Source organism: Homo sapiens, chromosome 10 (assembly GCF_000001405.40).
Source record: "Homo sapiens chromosome 10, GRCh38.p14 Primary Assembly".
NCBI classification, from domain to species: domain Eukaryota; kingdom Metazoa; phylum Chordata; class Mammalia; order Primates; family Hominidae; genus Homo; species Homo sapiens.
In genome coordinates, this window is record NC_000010.11 from 97,849,813 (window position 1) to 97,870,368 (window position 20,556).

Below are 20,556 nucleotides of genomic sequence, written 5' to 3' on the forward strand. Positions count from 1 at the left end.
AGGGCAGGAAGGGGAGGCGGGGCCTCGCGCGGGGCGGTAGCCGAGCCTGTGGCCCGGGCGGGGCTCCTCTCCGGCGGCGCCGGAGTCTGGGGGCCGCGGCTTCCCCCTCCCGGCCAGCGGCGGCTCCTGGCCCCTCCTCCCCCGGCCGCCCCCATCCCCGCCGCCGCCGCCGCCAAAGCTAAACCCGGCCGTTGCCTGCAGGAGCCGCGGCAGCGGGCGATCGGGCCGTGAGGAGCCTCGGGCGCGGCCTCGCCTCCCGGGCCCGGCGCCTGCCTCAGCACAGCGGACAGCGCCGCGCCCCTTGCCTGGACCCAGCCGCCCGCCCGCCCCCGGCCCACCTGAGCCCGGGCCCGCGGCGCCCGCATCAGCACTGCGGACAGCGCCCCGGGCCCCAGCTCGCCGCCACCGCCGCCGCCCACCTGCTCCCGGGGTCAGCACCGCGGAGACCCCCCTCGCCCGGCCCCGCGACAGCCTCCGAGCGCCCCCGGATCATGGCCACCGAGGTAGGGGCGAGCGCCCCACCCGCAGGCAGTGCCCGATTGCCGCGGGACCAAATGCCCTAGGGGTGGGCTGGGCAGGAGTGGGAGGCGGGAGTTGGGGGTGGGATGGGGTGATTCCCCAGGTCAGGTCTGGAGGGAGGAGGTAGGGGCTTAGTGAGGGCTCATCTCCCCCTTGCGTGTCAATCTTCCCCTCGCCCCACCTGAGCCCCCAAGCTGTCCGCGACACTTGTTGGCATTAGCGCCAGGGTTGCTTCAGGGCCCCAGGCTGGGGTTTCCCCTTCCCTGGACTTCACAAGTCCTGAAACCGCTTTCCTAGAGGGTTGGAGACGCGTGTGTGTGCGTGTGTGAGGGGAGGGAAGGCGGCTGTCCGCTGTTGCTATGCAGTCAGCTTCTGAACCCAAAAGCTTGGCTAAGGGATGACAGACTTACCTCTACATCCGCATTTCCTTTGCGGGAGGGAGGGGACAAAGACATCCTCAGGCTGAGAACCCAAATGGTTGGTCTCCACTTTTGCATATCACCCTTCTTGCTTTTTTACCCCATTCGAGTTTTTTTTTTTTTTTTGTCCCAGGGTGTCCAGATTTCCCCTCCATCTGATGGGAGTTTCTGCCTTCTTCAAGGTGCACTGATAGGTGTGTCACCTTCAAGCACTTGAAGGCTGAACCACGGGGCCTGTTAGCTAAGGGCAGAATCTTGGTATAATGCTTGAGGTCGAGGATTCCCCCCTCTACCCCTAGGGATTGCCCTTTCCCCCCTCATTTCAGGAGGGAGATTGGGCTCTTTATGTTCCCACTTTATACATGATAAAGGTGATGTGTGGAAAACGAAAGGACTAATTTGCTACTCCACACAGCATGTCAGCAGCAGAGCGGAAAGTTTTTGCCTTTGAATTTTTGGAGCGAAACTCAGGACATCAGGGTCTCCCCAGTTCTGATGTTGACTTCCTTTGTGGTGTCTCCCCATTTCCAATCCAGCTGGCATACACTGGGGGAGAGCAGAGGCCTGTGAATGATTCAATGCAGTGCTTCTGGGCATCCTGGTGAGCAGTGTGACATTAATACCAAGTGTGGCTGTTGTTATTCCACTCAAGTTTCCACCACAGAACAAGGTGCTGTTGCTTGGCATTGCTTGGCATTCTGACAAGGCACAAGGTTAGCTAGGCGGAGAGTTGCCCCTCAGGACTTGGTGTGAGGGCAAGCCCTGGGCAGACCCTGGGAGCTTGGTTTCTAGAGTAGAGGAATGCAGAGTACTCACAAAGCACCAAAGACATGGAGGACAGCAGGAAGAACAAAGGGAGAAACCAAGGAGTTGGTTACCTTCCAGATAGGGCTGCCAGACTGCAGCAGAGGCTGCTGTGTTGGACAGAAAAGGGGAACTTCAGCTACATGGGCATGGCTGGGCCAGCAGCGTGGGCAGAGAAGGCAGCTGCCTCTGCGATGTGATCTGACAGATTCCAACAGGCCCATCTGTCCCAGGATGTCTGCCATGGCCCACAGATTCCAACCAGCAGGCTTCTATCTCTATGTCAAGACAGCGTTTCCAGGAGGCTGCTATGAGACATGTGTGACTCTCCCCTGGGAGGGGCTCTGCTCATAACGCCTCTGAAAATATTGCGCTTTCCTGTGTACAAAGCACTATCGCATAAGTGATCTCTTTCAAGCCTCAGAGCAGCCCTATGAAGTGGGTAAGGATGGTGTTATTATGCCCAATTAACAGATGAGACAACTAAGGTTCAGAAACTTGCCTGGTCCCTGTGAAGGAGCCAAAGAAGGCATCATTATCCCATTTTACAGATGATGGAACTGAAGTGCTGAGACTTATTCAGGAAAATATGGCTAAAAGGTGGCAGGGATGGGATAAGAACTTGAGTCTTCTGCCTCTTTGGCCAGTGCTTTTTTTTCCTGCATCCAATTAGCCTATTGTGTCACCTGATAGAGAGGAGGGCCCTCCAGGTCTTGATGTGAAGCTTTGGTGGAGAGAGGGATGCAAAGGAAGTCATGAAGGGCTGGAGTGTGGGGACTCAGGCCCCCTGCTTGGCCTGGCTGGGTTGGTTTGAGGGCAGAGGGACAGAGGAAAGTCCCGGAGTGATGGGGAGCTGAGGACAAACATTCCTCACTTCACAATTTGGCCTTGGGTGGACTCTGATGGCAGAACTGAGGCAGGAAGCCTTAGCTCTGCCAGGGCACAGGACCTGCACGTATTCTGGGTTGTGGGGTGAGTCATTCTCCCAAGGCTGTTTTTACTGTTAGAATTGAGTTGAGATTACCAGGATAAACTTGTTGGGAGAGGGAAAACATCGCTTTAAGTTCCCATGATTATTCTGTTAGGATTCTCAATAGGAACTCCTCAGCTCTAGGAGAAGCTGTATTGAGAGAAGGAGAGAGGGAGAGGAAGGGGGTGGGGAGAGGGACAGAGAGGGAGGGGTGAGGGAGAGGGAAGAAATTCATGGGTGGAAACTGGGTCTTTTCTGTTCCCTAATTTCTGTTTAGGAGTTAGCATTAGGGGAGAGGTGTCTGTAAGGAACTCAGAGGAGGGATGGAGCCTCCTGAGTGATACACTGACCTCATTTGGAGAGCTGCAATGAGCCCATTTTCTGAGCAGCAAACCTCTGTGAATGTGTGTCACTGGGAGCAGGGTCTGCCCTGGGAAATAGTCCAGATGGCCAAGGACAACTGGGAAGTGCCTGGCTGGGAGGGGCTTCTCCAAGTGGTGGGGTTTGGTCTCTAAGAGATTTTTAAATGCATCCAAGTAGCGTTATTCAAGCAGGGTGTTTGGAGGTTTGATCTTTGAGGCATGGAATTAATGATGAGTAGACAACTGGGTCAGGCTTGAGCACTGGTACAGGCTGAGAAGAAGGGAGGTCTTGTGGCTGGTGTTTTATCCTTAGGCCTGACCTGGCTGTCTGTGACTCATGATCCTCACTCCTCCTTCACACCCCAGCCAGGAAGCAGAGTGCTGGCATCAGCGGAACCTCCTAATTCTCGATGCCTCACATGCATCCTATGGAATGAGATGGTTTTTAATGAGGATGAAGATGGCGCCAGGGGGGCACTCCTGTTGGACTTGGGCAGACTGGACCAGGAGCTCATTTGCACTCTAGAGCTTGTTCCTCTGCACCCCAGCTAGTTGACTGTCAGGTGAACAGGAGCCAAATGTGTGACCTGTGGTACCCACTCTCCAGGCAGACTCCCCCTCCTTCTCATACTGCAGTTTGAAAATTGGTACCCATGGGTCTCACCACTGATTTTCTTCCTTATGAAATGCTTCTCGGCCCTGTCTTCACTCTGCTGCCAGTGAGCCAGGGGTGGCAATGGGAGAGAGGGGCAGGGTTGAGGAAGGTGAGAAGTGGAGAGAGGCTCAGGTCTCTGGGTCAGTTAAGAACCCCCTGGGAGACACCCAGGGGAAACACAGAAACTGCAGCTTCAGAGAGAGTTGTGCACATATTTTGATATCCTCTGGTAGGATTTCAGAGCATCACGGATCTCTGCTGAAAACCCCACCAGCTTTCTGAAAACTTAGTAGCTGGCCAGTGGCCTGGAGCCTGGCTTAGCTCTTGCCCAAGGGGCCCCAGCCATGGGATTCTTTATTTAGAGGTCTTAAACTAGCAGCTCTAGAAATGAGTCTGGTCCATGGGTGTGCCTTACTTAGTCTGTTGAGTGCTTATACATTTTAAAAATGTATTGGAAATATTCAAAAATCAGAATATTTGATGTTAAAAAGATCTAGATTTCTGGCTTCTTTTGAGACACCAGAAGTGCTGGCAACCTGGGTATACATTCCCACGTGGCAATAGTCATCTGTCTCCTTGAGATGGGGCACCAGTTTTCTAATTAGCCCCAGGCCCCACCTGGCCCACTTATTGCTCAGCCCCTGTAAACATTTGCATTCATAATCCCTGATAAAGCCTCTAGAATGTCAGAGATGAAAGGGGCTTGAGCAATGATGTAGTTCCAGTTTCTTAGTTTCCAGTTGAAGAAATGGAGGTGCAGAGAAGGGAAGACTTTCCCAGGGCCATGTGGCCCAGGGTCAGGTCTCCTGCCCCCAGGTCAGTGGGCCATCTTTCCACTAGGGCTTCCTGGCACTTCACACTCAAGCCACCATGAATGGAGAAAACCAGGAGACCCTGCCTTGCCTTAAATCCGGCTCTTCACCAACTTCAGATGAGTCTGTAATATATGTACTCTATGTAGGTCTGGGAGACTAAGGCTCTGCCATATAAAATGTGTCTGATATCATCCTTTAGCAACTCCTCAGAGTTGCTCCTCCACAAACACTCTCCAGGGAGAGAAGCAGATCTCTGGTCACCCAGAGCCTGGATAGTAGTCTAAGGCTCAGGATATTGTTGGTGCTGAAAAGGGTGTTGACTTATCCTACTCTGGCTACTTGAGAACCTGTGGATCAAAGCCAAGAGGAAATGGGAATTTATTATGTAAGGTAGCACCCCCAAATCTTAATGTATTAATAGCTTAATACAATAGAAGTTTGTATCCTGCTCAGTGAAGTTCCAGGTAAGTGTTCCTGATCAACAGGTATTCCAGGCGGTGATTCAAGGCAGTGATTCAGTGATTCAGGGACCAAGGCTCTTCCCAACTTGTGGTGTCACTATCTTCAACACAGGGCTCCACCAGCCTCCATGAAAGGGGAAAGAGCAGGGAGAAATGGTACATCTTTATGAATCAAGCCTACACATGGCATTCGTCACTTCCTCTCACATTCTACTCAGTCATAGGGACACACCTAACTGCAAGGGAGGCTGGGAATTAATATAGCTGTATGCCTAGGAGGAAGAAGAAATGGCTTGGGTCAGTAGCTAGCCAGTCGCTAGAGACACACGCCTTCAGGACAGCACACAAATATGTGTGTACACATGTGTGCATTCAGGCACAGATTTAACACAATCCCTATCAAATTAGCAACATCGTTTTTCACAGTATTGGAAAAAACAATGCTAAAAAAAGAAAAAACAATGCTAAAGTTCACATGGAACCAAAAGAGAACCTGAATAGCCAAAGCAATCCTATGCAAAGAACAAATCCAGAGGCATCACATTGCCTGACGTCAAATTATACTACAAGGCTATAGTAACCAAAACAGCAGGTTTTGTATGGGTCAGAGGACAGGAAGCTGAGTCCATATCAGAATGGTTTCTTCCCTTTCTTTCCATTCTCACCACTGCTTTTCTCACCACCTCTTTAGTTTTTTCCATGGACTATTAGAAAGAGAATCATCCCTCCAACTGGCCCCTCACCCCAGTCTTGTCCACTTCCCACAAAACTGCTAGAATGAGCCTTCTAGGGGTAGGGGAGTCCATCCTCAAGATTGACTGACTTTCATAAGTTGGTTTTAGAGGGGCAGAGGAAGGCCATAGCCTTGTTCTTTACTCTTGAAAATACAACATTATAAAACCTTAACCAGAGCAGACATGTTAACAATTAACTTATTTATATTACCAAAGCATTCCTTATTTCTCCGAGTTATCATAGGTTCCTAGTAGATATCAAGGGGATTTCCTCAATGAAAACCTTGATTAGAGGAATCAACTCATATAAGCCTACAGGAGGGCTTATACATTATTTAATCCAGTCACAATACTTTGAGATCACATTTCGTACATACAGCAAGGTCCACCTGGATTTAGGAAAGTCACATATAGTGTTTTTGGATTCCCACCTTTTCAGGACCTTGATCTACCAATTATCTGCTCCTTCTACTTTATTGATAACCTTTCCTAGTTATTTATTATTTCCCAAGATTTTTGTTTGTTTTTAAATTTTATTTTATTTTAGATTCAGGGAGTACATGTGCATGTTTGTTACATGGGTATATTGCATATTGGTGGAGATTGGGCTTCTAGTGTACCCATCACCCAAGTAGTGAACATTGTACCCGATGGGTAATTTTTTAACCCTCACCCCCTCCCCTCTTTTGGAATCCCCAGTGTCTATTATTTTCATCTTCATATCCATGTGTACCTCTTGTTTAGCTTAGATTTATAAGTGAGAAAGTGTGTTTTGTGGTATTTGGTTTTCTGTTTCTAAGTTAGTTCACTAAGGATAATGGCCTCCAGCTCCACTCATGTTGCTGCAAAAGATATGACTTTATTATTTTGTATGGCTGTGTAGTATTCCATGGTGTATATATACCACATTTTCTTTATCCAGTCAAGTGTTGATGGTTGTTACTCTGAAGTTGGTTCTATGACTTTGCTATTGTGAATAGTGCTATGATGAACATATGAGTACAGGTGTCTTTTTAACATAATGATTTATTTTCCTTTGGGAGGATACCCTGTAGTGGGATTGCTGGGTTGAATGGTAGTTCTCTTTTTAGTTATTTAAGAAATCTTCATACTGTTTTCCATAGAGGTTGAACTAATTTACATTTCCACCCACAGAGTATAAGTGTTCCCTGTTCTCTGCATCTATGCCAGCATCTGTTGTTTTTTTAATAATAGCTATTCTGATTGGTGTAGCATGATGTCTCACTGTGGTTTTAATTTGCATTTCTCTGATGCTTATTGATGTTGATCATTTTTCATGCGTTTATTGGCAGCATGTATTTCTTCTTTTCAGAAATGTCTGTTCATGTCCTTTGCCCAGTTTTTAATGGGGTTGTTTTTTTTCTTGTTGAATTGTTTGAGTTCCTCATAGATTCTGGATATTAGTCTTCTGTCAAAGGCATAATTTGCAAATATTTTCTCCCTTTCTGTAGGTTGTCTGTATACTTTGTTGATTATTTCTTTTGCTGTGCAGAACTTTTTAGTTTAATTAAGTCCCATTTGTCTATTTTTGTTTTTGTTCCATTTGCTTTTGGGGACTTCATCATAAATTATTTGCCTAGGCCAATATCCAGAAGAGTTTTTCCTAGGTTTTCGTCTAGAATTTTTACAGTTTCATGTCTTAAATTTCAGTCTTTAATCCATGTTGAATTAATTTTTGTATATGGTGAGAACTAGGGGTCCAGTTTATTCTTTTGCACATGGTCAGCCAGTTTTCCCAGCACCATTCATTGAATAGGGAGTCCTTTCCCCATCCCATTTACAATAGCCAGACACACACACACACACACACACACACACACACACACACACACATTTAACCAAGGAAATGAAAGATCTCTATGAGGAGAACTACAAAACACTGATGAAAGAAATCGTAGATAACACAGACAAATGGAAAGACATCCCATGCTAAAGGATTGGAAGAATCAACATCATTAAAATGACCATGCGGCCCAAAGCAATCTACAGATTTAACACAATCCCTATCAAATTAGCAATATCATTTTTCACAGAATTAGAAAAAACAATGCTAAAGTTTATATGGAACCAAAAGAGAACCTGAATAGCCAAAGCAATCCTATGCAAAGAACAATCCTATGCAAAGAACAATCCTATGCAAAGAACAAATTACATTGCCTGACGTTAAATTATACTACGAGGCTATAATAACCAAAACAGCAGGTTTTGTATGGGTTACTGGTACAAAAATAGACACATAGACCAATGGAACAGAACACAGAACCCAGAAATAAAGCAACATACCTATAACCAACTGATCTTTAACACAGTCTTTCCCCGGTGTTTAAGCAAGTTTAAGTATCTGTCATCCTAAATCCTCCCCTTCAGCAGGAATCTTTCCTGCTTCTTGTGATCTGACCCTTGCCTCCTCTACAATCTCATCTCCCACTGTTTCTTATCTAATCTGCAAACCACCTCCATTCTTGCTGAAATCTGCCTCTAGTAGACCATGTGCTCTATCTTTGTCACTTTGCGCAAGCTTCTCTTTTTGCCTGGGTTGCCTTTTCCTCCCTCTCCACACTCTCTGCCTGCCCCCTGCTACTGGTAACCCCTGGACTTCCTTTATGACTCAACACAGGCTTCAGGAGGCCTTTTCTGAGTGAGCATTTCTGGGTAAGATGTTACTTCTCTGTGGCATTTGTCACTGTCTAATTCATTATATATTTACTTGTCTTCCTCCCTGGAGCTCACAGACTCTTTTGCTCAGCACCCCCAGAGCTTGGCACTAGGAGAGACTCAATAAATGAGAGCTGAGTGACTGAATGGATCCAGCTTAATTACATGGGATGAACTGGCTGTTGTTCACTCTGCCTTTGGGGCTTGGTCTCCACGTGTTCTCAGTGTTGGGCATATTTCAACCAGTGGGATGCTTGTCTTGAATGTGGGTGACTGAGGCTGGAGAGGTGGAAAAAGTGGGCTTGTTCTGTGGAATTGAGCCCATTCCCCTCAAACACTAGAGTCTGTGTCAATGTGAAGTCCACAGATGTGCACAAGGGACAGATATCTCCCCTCTCCTTCCTGCCAGGGAAGGCTATTTCTTCCATTTCTGGCCTCTGTCCATTTCATCTACACTATTCTCTGGAGAAGTTTGGACATTCATGGGCCCTTTGTTTCCTGTGGTGAGAAGTGCTGGATGTGAAAAGCATCTGGGGTGCTCTCTGGCCGGGGCCATAAAACTCGGCCTGGACCCCAGTCTCTGAGTTCAGGGGTACCTCAGGTATTCCTCTGTCCCACATGTTCCCTGCCTGCAACTCTGTTGTGAGCTCCACTTGGCAGGACTGGAGCACTGGTCTTGTTCAGTGCTGGGTTCCCCAGGCACAGGGTCTCACAAGTGAACGCTTGGTACTTGGTGAATGAATGAAAGTATGAAAGGTTCTTCTGTGTGTGTGTGTGTGTGCACGTGCACGTGCGAGAGAGACTCAACTTTGGCCCTGCTTTAGGCTTGTTAAAAATTTTTTTAGAGTTGGGGTCTTGCTCTGTCACCCAGGCTGGAGTGCAGTGGTGCAATCACAACTTACTGCAGCCTTTAACTCCTGGACTCCAGCAATGCTCCCACCTCAGCCTCCCAAAGTGCTGGGATTACAGGCACAAGCCACTGCACCCAGCCTTGCTTTAGGCTTTTAAAAGATCTCTCTGGGATAGCTCAGGGCAGCTTCTTGGGTAGACCCCACAGCCCTGCCTCCCTTGGCCTCTTGGAGCACCTGTAGAGTGCCCAGCTTGTCTCTGCATGCTGGGAACTTTCCTGGTGTTAGTGCTGGAAGACCTGCATTCTGGGAAACCCCTGCATTTGGGATATGCCGAGATGGATGGTCACTCTCAGCACATGCCGCCCGCACGTCTCCTCAGGTCCACAATCTGCAGGAGCTCCGGCGAAGTGCCTCACTGGCCACCAAGGTCTTTATCCAGAGAGACTACAGCGATGGGACCATCTGTCAGTTCCAGACCAAATTCCCCCCAGAGCTGGACAGCCGGGTAAGGATGCCTTTTTCTGCACTTGGAACCCAGGGCTGTGATGGAACTGAGGTTCTTATTGGAATGTATTTTATCCAGGATCCTATGACACATAATATCATAGGACACGTAACATGTTTGGCCACTTCAAAAGGATGAATTTTAAAAAATCAAAAGGATGATTCTTAATATTGTCTTACTGTCTCCTCATAGAAAATTAGAGCTGAAGGGATCTCAGGGATTTTCTGGTCTGGCTGCTCTCAAGTTTCAGTTGCCTAAAAATGATATAGAGAGCTTGTTAAACAAATGGAAATTCCTGAGTCCTACTGGATGATACAGGTGTTGTCCAGCAGTGCTGATCCAGTTGTTGGACTGTGGCTCAGGAGTCTCCATTTATTAGCAGCTGTTCTCAACCTTGGCTGTACATTAGAGGTTCCTGGGGAGCTTAAAAAATCCTGATGCTCAGACTGCAGCCCAAACCAACTACATTAGACTCTCTAGGGGTGGGACTCTGGAATCAGCATAGTTTTAAATCTTAATTTTGAAATGAATTTTAATCATGATTGTTTAAACTTTAGTATTTATTTATTTATAATTTTGTGGGTACCTAGCAGGGGTACATGAGATATTTTGATACAAGCATGCCATGTGTAATAATCACATCAGGGTAAATGGGGCATCCATTACTTCGGACATTTATCTTATCTGTTACAAACAATCCAGTTATACTCTTTTAGTTATTTTAAAATGTACAATTAAATTATTATTGACTATAGTCACCCTGTTGTGCTATCAAATACTAGGTCTTTTTTTTTTTCCCTTGATGGAAATCCAGGATGGAGTGCAGTGGTGTGACCACAGCTCCCTGCAGCCTCTGTCTCCCAGCTAAGGTGATCTTCCTGCCTCGGCCTCCCAGGTAGCTGGGGTTACAGGTTCGTGCCACTACTCCTGGCTAATTTATTGTAATTTTAGTAGAGACGGGGTTTTGCCATGTTGCCCAGGCTGGTCTCAAACTCCTGGGCTCAAGTGATCCGCCCTCCTCGGCCTCCCAAAGTGCTGGGATTACAGGTGTGAGCCACCATGCCCAGCCCAAATACTAGGTCTTAAGCCTTAATTTTTAATGAGGAATTCCCAGGTGAATCAGAATCAAGTGGTTCATAGATTACACTTGGAATTGCTAGTCTTGTTCAGCTGGTCTTCTTCAGAAACAGCGCTGCTTCTCATCCTTGGCTACACCTTAGAGGCACCTGGGAACTTTGAAAAAGGAAGCTTGCAGGGCGTCAGCTTGGGTAGGGCAGGGCAGTGGTGATCTTTGCTGCTCTGACCTATCCTCCCCCTTCCCAGACCATTGACTCAGAATCTCCTGGTGGGGGAGACTTGGGCATCATAGGGTTTAAAGGCTGCTCAGATAATTTCAGTTTGCAGCTGGAGCTGAGAACCATTAAGTCCTTGTTACTAAAACTGTGGCCTGTGGATCAACAATATCAACAATACCTGGGAGCTTGATAGAAATGCAGAATCTCAGCTCCCTCCCTGGATCTGCTGAATCCGAATCTGGGTTTTAATCTATTCCTTGGGTTATTCAGATATGCATGAAATTTTGAGAAGCTCCACACTAGTCCATCCCTCTCATTTAACAGAGGAAACTGAGGGCCAGAAAGAAGTGACTTATGGGAGTTAGTAAGTACCAGACAGGCTTAAGTGCCCCGCCTCTCTGCTTTTTCACAGGACTCTTATTTTCTTGCTGACACAATTGCATCTTTTGTGGGTACAGATCAAACTAAATGTCTTCATGATCACAGTCTCGCAGGGAAAGCTTAGAGACTCAAAGGAAGAGCTGCAGGCTGCTTTTCCCTTCTCCTTGCCTCAGGCAAAGGGGAGAGCCAGATGCACCATCCCACAGTCTGCTGGGTGGCATAAAAGGCAGTCAGCCAAGGGCTCTGCCTACAGCCTCTGCCTCTAGACTCAGCTAGTTGGGTGACTCATGGACCTCAGGCTGCTGTGAGGCATCAGCTGCTGAGTTTTGCTTCTGGTCCAGGGGTGTCCTCAGCTTTCATCCTAGGCTGCCCTAGAGTGGGCCTGGGACTGGGGAAGCCAGAAGGCAGATCCTGAGCTTTCACTCAGCAGCCCAGGTAGATCTGAATGGGTTTGGGAAGTGGGGGCAGGGATGGTCTGTACTGATATGACCCGGAGCCAGCTTTCGGAGAGAATGTGGGCCTCTTTCTCATCTTAGCATGCTTGTCCTTTAGGGCGGGGTGACCCCCAGGGTGGAGCAGCAGGGCTTGTGGCATGGACTAGATGGGCAGGATTTTCATAGGATTTTCTCTATGAGTTCTCCCCAGGTCTGTGTAGGGGGAACTCCTAAGCTTCCAACTATTCTTGGACAGAGGTTTTGTCCTAGAGAGGCAGGGAGGTCCCTAAACTGTGTGATGAGCATTTCTGGTCCTGCTGCATGAGTGAGGAAGAAGGTACTGTGAAGAATGTGAAAAATAGGGCTACTATTTTGACACTGTGACACCTGCTGAGTTTGGAATGTGACCTTCCCGGCTGTCTGGTGTTACACAGTGAAGAGCACAGACTGGAGTCAGAGCTGTAACCTTGGACAAGTTTACTTAGCAGTCACTAAGTATTTATTGATTATGTATTAGTCTCTAGAGATATAGGAGTAAACTCATGGCATTTATTTTCTATTAGATGGTGTAGAAAATAAAAAACCAAGCAAATACAGTTGACCCTTGCACAACACAGGGTTAGGGGTGCCTGTCCCCTGCACAGTCAAAAATCTGGATATAACCTTTGACTTTCTAAAAACTTAACTACTAGTAGCCTACTGTTGACTGGGAGTCTTCTGTTAATACAAACAGTTTATTAACACACATTTTGCATGTTATGTATATTATATACTGTATTCTTATAATAAAGTAAGCTAGAGAAAAGAAAATGTTAAGAAAATCATAAGGAGAAGAAAATATATTTACTACTCATTAAGTGGAAGTGGATCATCATAAAGGTCTTCATCCTCGTCATCTTCATGTTGGGTAGGCTGAGGAAGAGGAGGAACAGGACAGGTGGATCTTGCTGTCTCAGGGGTGGCAGAGTCAGAAGAAAATTCACATATACATGGACCCACACAGTTCAGACCCATGTTGTTCCAGGGTCAACTGTAAATATACCTCACTCAGGAGGTAACAAATACTAGAAGAATAAGGGGAGGATGTCACGGGGGTTGGGTGTGCTGGGGAGAGGTGAATGATCCTGGGCACAGGGGGAGGCTGTTGAATAAGGTGAGACCCAAGGGTGTTAAGGGTGTCACGGCAGCCTGCAGGGGAAAGTGTGGCAGCTAAGGAGATGGACACAAAGGGCCTGAGGAAATTTCAAGAAGCAGGGGTACTGAGTGAAGAGGAGAGGAGGAGACGGGCCCAGGGGTAGCAGGGTCGGGCCATGGAGGGCCTAGCGGGCATTGTAAGGACTTCTTGGATTTAACTTGCAGAGAGATGGGAAGATTGTGGGAGCTCTTGATCACAGCTGTGACATAATCTGACTTTAACTGGAAGTTAGGGCAGGAGCAGGGGCAGGGAGGCCAGTGAAGGGGCCAGAGACGGTGGCAGCTGGAACCACAGAGCAGTTCGTGGTCCGCGTGGTCTTAGGACCACAGAGCAGTCCTCACCTGTAAAATGGGGATGGCAGTAGTACTTTTCTGATAGAATTGTTCTGAGAGTTAAATGAAAGAGTGCATTTCCTGGCACACAGAAAGTGCTTAATACATATTAGCCATTCCTATTATGGATACGGGCAGGACAGCTTCTCAGGTGTCCAAACACACAGGGTGGTGGTGTTGTGGGTGACCTCTGAGCTAGAAGGAAATGCCCCTTCCTGGAGAGATGCCCCTGAGGTCTCACTGAAGCAGTCTCATGCAGTCCCATCCAAACATGGAGAGCCCCTATGAATCTAGTCCTGAGCTCTCTCACAACCAGCAAGATGGGACGTGTCAAAGTCACTAGAATACTCGTTTGATCTTCTGCAGAAAACATCTAGGATATCATGGGAATTTCCTGTTTCCAAGGGAGGACAAGCAGCCATTCTTATTCCCATTTTATAGATGAGGAAACTGAAGCCTAGATGGTTAAGCTGCTAGTTCAATGTCACTCAGCCAGTTAGTTGATGGCCAAGTCTGGACTGGCCCCCCCAGTCTCCTGACTCCCAGGCCAGTGCTCTTTCGGCTCTGCCTGCAGCCTCTTTGGTCTTGCCTGTGTGCCAATGTCATCTTCCCCATCTACATGGCCCCACCATTGTCACTTCCAGCCCTACCTGTGACTGTGCACACTCCAGGGAGGCTAACCGCAGCCTGGCTCTGTCCCTTTCTCCAGATCGAGCGGCAGCTCTTTGAAGAGACTGTGAAGACCCTCAACGGATTTTACGCAGAGGCTGAGAAGATTGGGGGCAGCTCCTACCTCGAGGGCTGCCTGGCCTGCGCCACGGCCTACTTCATCTTCCTCTGCATGGAGACCCACTATGAGAAGGTGGCCCCTCCCGCCCCACCGTGCATCCCTTCCCTCAGGGCTGCCCTGTGGCATGCTCATCCTTGTCTGGCTCCTCTTTTTGCAGGTTCTCAAGAAGATTTCCCGCTACATCCAGGAGCAGAATGAGAAGATCTTTGCACCTCGAGGCCTCCTACTTACAGACCCTGTGGAGCGTGGGATGAGGGTTGTATCCTTCTGGGCTATTCTGTGTTGAGGGCACAGGACTGCTAACCAGTAGAGATCCTGGTGAGGCTGCCAGGAAACGAGGCCACCTTAGGGGCCTCCACTCAGGTTTTCCCAGGATTCCCCACATCAGTGGTCCTCAGCCCTCCTCCACCACCCTAAGTTATTGGAGGCTTTGTGAGTTTCAGGATTTGCACTTGTTGGGCTGCATGTAATCAGTGCTTAGAATATGCCAGCTATCATGTGAAGTGCTTTGAAAATACGAATTCATGTACTTCTCATAACAATCTTACCAGGTGGGTTGCTCTGATTATTCCCAGCAACCTGCTTAGAGTCGTGCAGCTGGTGAATGTGGGAGCCAGGAATTGCACCCAGGCTCACCCTTAACTACAAAGACCCCTCCAGGAATATGCAAATCACCACATTCATTTACAGGTCCACAGTCTCATGCAATCCTCATGGAATCTCCCGTGGCAGGTCGCATTGTCCTCCTTTCACAGATGAGAGACATGAGGTCTAGAATGATGTGACTACCCCAAGGTCTCAGTCCTGGTGAGAGGCTGGACGGGGGTGGGGCGTGGTTCTGCTGACTTTATCTCCACTTGGAATAGTGTGATCTGGGTGTGCACAAATCCCTCCCCCCGGGCAGCAGCAACACGAGTAGAATTGCTAAAAAATAAGGTTTACTGGAAAACTGAGGAGAAACAGAGTCAAAAAACCACAAACACCCAGAATCACGTGTTGACAAAGCCCAGTGAGAGGCACTTGTTTTTATTGAGCCTTTACTATGTGCCAGGTTTTGTGCCAAGTGTCTTACATACATTTAATCTAATCTCCACACTAACCCCAAGATTCTATTCTTAATCCCCATTTTGCAGATGCGATAATGGATGGCTAACAAGTTAAGTGACTGGTGTAAGGTCACATAGCTTTGTGAGTTCCTGAATCAGGATTTGAACTCAGGACACTAAAGTCCTCATACTTCCTGTGCAGTGACACCACCTCCCTGGGCACATCTGTGTCCTAAGATATGGTCATTAGACCCACTGGAATGTAAGCGCCATCAGGGCAGCGACCCTGTCTGCTGTGATCACAGCTATGTGCCCAGCACAGGGCCTGGCCTTACGAGTCTCCCTAATTGTTAGCTAAGTAATGTGCATGGATGGGCTTGGGGAGGGTCTAGCTCCCAGGCCTTTACATCCCTACTGTCTAGGCAGCAGCACAAGCCCACTTTCCCACTCCCCTGCTGGACTCCATCCGCTGGTTCATGTCCCACCCCTGCTCAGCAGCTGGGCTCGCAGCTCTCCTTAACCACCGACCCCAGATTGAGATCTCCATCTACGAGGACCGGTGCAGCAGTGGCAGCTCCAGCAGCGGCAGCAGCAGCGGCAGTGGCAGCAGCAGCGGTGGGGGTGGTGGGGCGGGGGCCCGGTGACTGGCCGAGAGTCCCTGTAGGGAGGTGTATGGCCGGAGTGAGGGCCTTGCAGACCTGCGGCGGCTGCGCTACCAGAGCACCCGCTTCTGAGTCATTCTTTGGGCTCACCCTGCTGCCCGGGGTGGGAGGGAGGGTGACGGGCCTCATATTTCCTGTGGGCCATCAACCTATGCCCCCTGTCCCTCACCCCCGTCTGGATCAGTCCATTTCCTGACCTGGGGGCTTTTCCTTCCCGATGGGGCTGGTCTGGGCCACACAGAGACAGATCTTCCTAGGAAGGCTGGGGTGGGGAGAACACAACCTAGGCGGCCCCTCTCTTCCACAGCCCCTCTCCCAACCCTGCGAGGGGGGCCGAGGCCTGCCACATAGAGGACTCCCACACTGCATGACCCCTCATCCCAAACCCATATCCACCAGGACTCTTTCCCTTGGGCCCTGCGTCCCGTGGCTGTCTCCCAGTATCTGTTCCTTCTCATGCCCCTGCAGGGCCCCGGCCTGTCTATGATCCTGCCTCCACCAAATTCAAGGTGTGGGGAGACGGGTGCCGTGGTTGGGAGCTGTTCAGCGCACTCCTGACCTCTTCTAGACCTATGGCTTTCCTGTCCTGCATTCAGAGCTAGAGGCCAGCTCGGCCTTGCGAGAAGCATCCAACTTTGAGACTTTGCAGGCTGCCAGGTGCTGGTTGGGGGGCACAGAGCCTGGGGCTCTGGGAGGTAATATGGGGGTCTGGGAAACTCCGTGAAGAGACATAGCCATGCGGGGCCTGAATCTCCTGAACTACAGCCAGTTTCCTGAGATTAGAACCTGTGTGTATGCACATGTGAATGTATGTGTGAGTGCACATGTGTGTAAGTGCAGTGTGCGTAAATGTGTGAGTCTGCGTGTGTTAGCATGCCTGTATGTGAGCGCGTGTGTGAGCGCATGTGTGTGCACCAGTGCACAAGTGTATGAATGTGGACACATTTATAAGCACACCTGTGTGTGTCTGAGTACATGTGCACACACGTGTGCACAAATGTGCATTTATATGAGTGTGAGTGCATGCATGTGCATGAACATGTGTGCACAAGCATGTGTGTATGAGTGTTCATGTGTATGAGTGTGTGTGTATGCAGGTGAGTGCATGTGTGTGTGAGTGTGTTTGTGTGTTCCCCTTGGCTGCCAGGCCAACGACTGCTTCTCTGCATCCTGCTGTCTTCGCTACCTGAGGGTCTGTGACTTCTTCCCTGTGTGGGTCCAGCCTGACCCCCTGTAAGTAAATGTCCAAAAGCCCCTTGCCCCTCCCCTAGGGCTACCAGGGAACATACTCTACTGCATATGTTCTAGTGGAAGAGAAGCCGGGGTTCTAGGAAAGAAGAGCCAAACTTTGGTGGCCTTTGGTGCCCCCTCTCAGCTCCCCATGACAAGACAACGGGGCTGCAGACACTGTGTGTTCAGCCTGCCCAGGGGCTGGGGCTCTTTAAGGCTTTGTAGGTGAGGTTTCCATGGACCTTCAAAGGTGCCAGCAGCCTGCAGGGGAAAGGCAAACTCCCTCCTTGCAAGGAAAGGAGATGTCCAGCCAATGATGCCCGGCTTCTGAGGCCCAGAGGAGCAGGTGGGATGGGAGCAGCCCCTGGGGCTGGTGTCCCGAAGATGAAATGAAGGGGGCTGCCTATCTCAGTTGGCGGGAGGTGTTAGAAGTGGATGTGCAAGACCAGCCACTGGAGGTAGCTCTCTGGAGTCAAAGAGAGGCCTGCTTTTCTACCAGACATGGGAGCAGCATGTAGGATACAAGGGCCTACCCAGAGACCAGAGAGAGTCAGCCTAGTCCTTGCAGCCTCAGGAAGTCCTCGGCCCAAGTGAGTCCTGGTCCAAGGATCCCCCTGGAGAGCCGCAGTTCAGTGGGCTCCACCGCAGCCCCTGGCCACGGCCTATGCCCTCCCTGGGCCCCTGTGGGGCTGGGCATTGTGTCTGACCTGTGCATCTCCCATGGGAGGGCTGGGCACAGGCAGTGCTATGGCCTTTTTTTTTTTTTTCTTTTTCCAATAAAAGAACTTGCCCAGCGTGAAGCTCTGTGATGCTTTCTCTGCCCCGTGACGATGGAGGGTCAGTTCTATGCTCCAGGACCACATGAGGGGATACTCAGCTGCCTGAACTGGACCTGACATGGGGAGCAGGATGAACTCTGTCTTCTTGGAGCTTGCAGTCTACTGAAGAGGCAGACACCTCAGCATCTCTAATCTGGAATCTTTGGGGCACTTGTAGCCTTGGGTGGGGGAACAGGTTGGACTGAAAGCGAGGCCAAAAGTAATCAATTAATGATATCAATAAATCCTCATTTCTTGAGCTCTTCCCCTGGGTTGGGTCCTGTTGGGAGCTGGATCACACAGGTCACTCAGTACTGAAGATGAGAAAGTAGCTGGATGATCACTTCTCGGCCTTTTGGCCAAGATCAAATATGGAGAAAGTAGCTGGATGTTGGAACCTAGCAGAGTTGTGTCTTGAATTTTATAATTTATTGAGCACCTACTATGTGCCAGATACTTTGCTGAAACCATATGTTAGAGCTGGCAGGGGATTTAAAGATCACTTGAATCCTGTCACAGAGGTCCAGAGAGGGTGGGTGACTTGCCCTAGGCCACACAGCTGGTTGATGATAACAGGGCCCAAGCTTGGAACCCAGGTCTCCTGACTCAGTGCCCACTCTGTTACCACAGGGATGGCACCCAGATGGGAAGCTGCCTGAGGCTGCAGGGAGGCTGGGATCACAAACTCAGGCCTGTTCCCAGAGAGGGGCTCATCAGACTGTGGGGACAACGGCTCCAGCCTCTTAGGTGGGGGCTGGGCAGTCCCCTCTGGGTGGTTCTCATGTTTGTTGTCACTGCCGCTAAGGGCTGCAGTGAGCTGTGTGCAGCCTGGACTCACTCCCTCTGCTGGAACCTGGGCCGTGTGTGGGTTGCCACAAGTGAGCGTGTTCTCTAATATGAGGGCAGGTTCATTCTGTTTTGGGATAGGAAGTTTGTTCTACCCCGAGGCCAGATTTGAATCCAAACTCAGCTCTTCTAGAGATGAGGTCCTGGGGAGGGGGTGAGGATTTACTAAACGGGTAAAACCAAATCTGGGTGCTTATCTGACTGAGAGGCATTCAACCCTTCCATTTTCAAATGGTAATCATAATAATAATAGTAGCTGACGTTTATTTAGCACTTCCTATGTGCCAGGCACTAGGCTAAGACTCTACATAATTAGTCATTCAATTCTCACAGCAACCCTCTATGGCATGGATTCTTATTTCCCATTTTACATATGGGGAAACTGAGGCTCATGGACGTTAAGTAACTGGGAAATTGCAGATCTTGGCTTTGAATCTAGGCAATCTGACTCCAAACTGCAAGGAAGAAGACAGATCCAGCCTCAGAGGCCGCTTAACAGCTTGAGGGCCTCAGCCGTCCTGGGATTAGGATCAGGCAGATTCCCAGGGAAGGACTTGGAGCCATGCCTGGGTTTTGAGGCCGGGCTGGCACCTCCACTTCCAGGGCATCACGGGAGGGTGCATGGGCTGTGCTCGCAGGCATGCGGGACCCAGAGGCAGCCCGGTGAAGGGTAGTGGGGGACTCGACTCACTGTGGGCCTGGGGAGGTGTGGTTTCTCTCTGCTGGCTTAGTTACAGGTGGTGGCCTGTCTCTCCGGGGTCTGGCTGTAGCCATGTCCCTGCACCCACCTTGCCAGCCAGGGACAGGCCCCATCAAGACCCAGGAGCAGCTCCAGCCTCAGCCAGACTGTCCCCGAGGTCCCAAGTGAGGCCCCAGCCACTCAGGCATGCCTCAGGAAGCTCCTGCTGCACATGCTCCTCTCCCTGCGCCAGCACCCTGCTGTCTGGCTTCCTTCCTTTGGCCACAGGGCGGGTGTGTGTGAAACCACAGGGTTTACAGAAGCTCGAGGTGCCACTGAGTGGCAGGATTATGCACTGCACTCGGGGAATCAAAGGTGGAGACAGAAAGAACTATGGCTGTTGTGACACGTCCCCCACGGCTCCCCGGTTGGCAGCCACTGCCACCCGCAGGGACTTTTCTGTGGCTTCCAGAGGTGTGGGGCAAAGGTGGAGTCTGGTGACTTTCTCCCTAGGGCCAGCCCCTGGGCTGTCGAGCCTGGGAAACTCCACATCCCTCTCCACACCTCTAGAAGGACTCACAATGAGGGGGGCCCAGACAGGAGGCATCACCACCTGGTTTGGGCTTTACCATTCACCCAGGGATAAGGCAAGGCAAACACCACTCCACATCAGATCTGAATTTGAGCTCTGGCTTCATGACACTGACACATGAAGACTCTTGGAGCCTCAGATTCCCCAGTTGTTAAATAGGGAGACTAATATCTCACAGAGTTGTTTAGACCCGAGGCGTTCAACCTTGGTGGCAATGGATGTCAACTGGAAGCATGAAAAATCACCAATGCCTGATCCTATCCTCAGAGATTCTGATTTAATTGTTTTGGGGGACAGCTTGGGCATCAGGATTTTAAAGAGTTTCCCTGGTGATTTTAATGTGAAGGTAAGGCTGAGAATCCCTGGTTTTGACAGTACCTATAGCCTATAAGCCTTTAATACACCTCTGAAAATGCCTGAGACCTGAATAAGAAGTTTATGGTTCCACAGAAGCAGCCAGACACAAAAATGCATATGCACCATGT

At 49.6% G+C, this 20,556-nt stretch overlaps 2 protein-coding genes across 2 annotated transcripts in view; one reads left to right on the forward strand and one right to left on the reverse strand.

Annotated features, from left to right (window-relative positions):
* Positions 1-30: 30 nt before the first annotated feature.
* GOLGA7B (golgin A7 family member B) overlaps positions 31-20,556 on the forward strand; it is a 21,736-nt gene continuing 1,210 nt past the window's right edge. Inside the window, exons 1-5 of the mRNA NM_001010917.3 lie at positions 31-503; positions 9,646-9,771; positions 14,118-14,270; positions 14,356-14,457; positions 15,778-20,556. The exon at positions 15,778-20,556 is cut by the window's right edge and continues 1,210 nt beyond it. Coding sequence (NP_001010917.1) covers positions 492-503; positions 9,646-9,771; positions 14,118-14,270; positions 14,356-14,457; positions 15,778-15,888 — 504 coding nt within the window. The 5' untranslated portion in view covers positions 31-491 and the 3' untranslated portion in view covers positions 15,889-20,556. The remainder of the gene's footprint in view (positions 504-9,645; positions 9,772-14,117; positions 14,271-14,355; positions 14,458-15,777) is intronic.
* CRTAC1 (cartilage acidic protein 1) overlaps positions 15,188-20,556 on the reverse strand; it is a 165,622-nt gene continuing 160,253 nt past the window's right edge. The window contains exon 15 of the mRNA NM_018058.7: positions 15,188-15,902. Coding sequence (NP_060528.3) covers positions 15,736-15,902 — 167 coding nt within the window. The 3' untranslated portion in view covers positions 15,188-15,735. The remainder of the gene's footprint in view (positions 15,903-20,556) is intronic.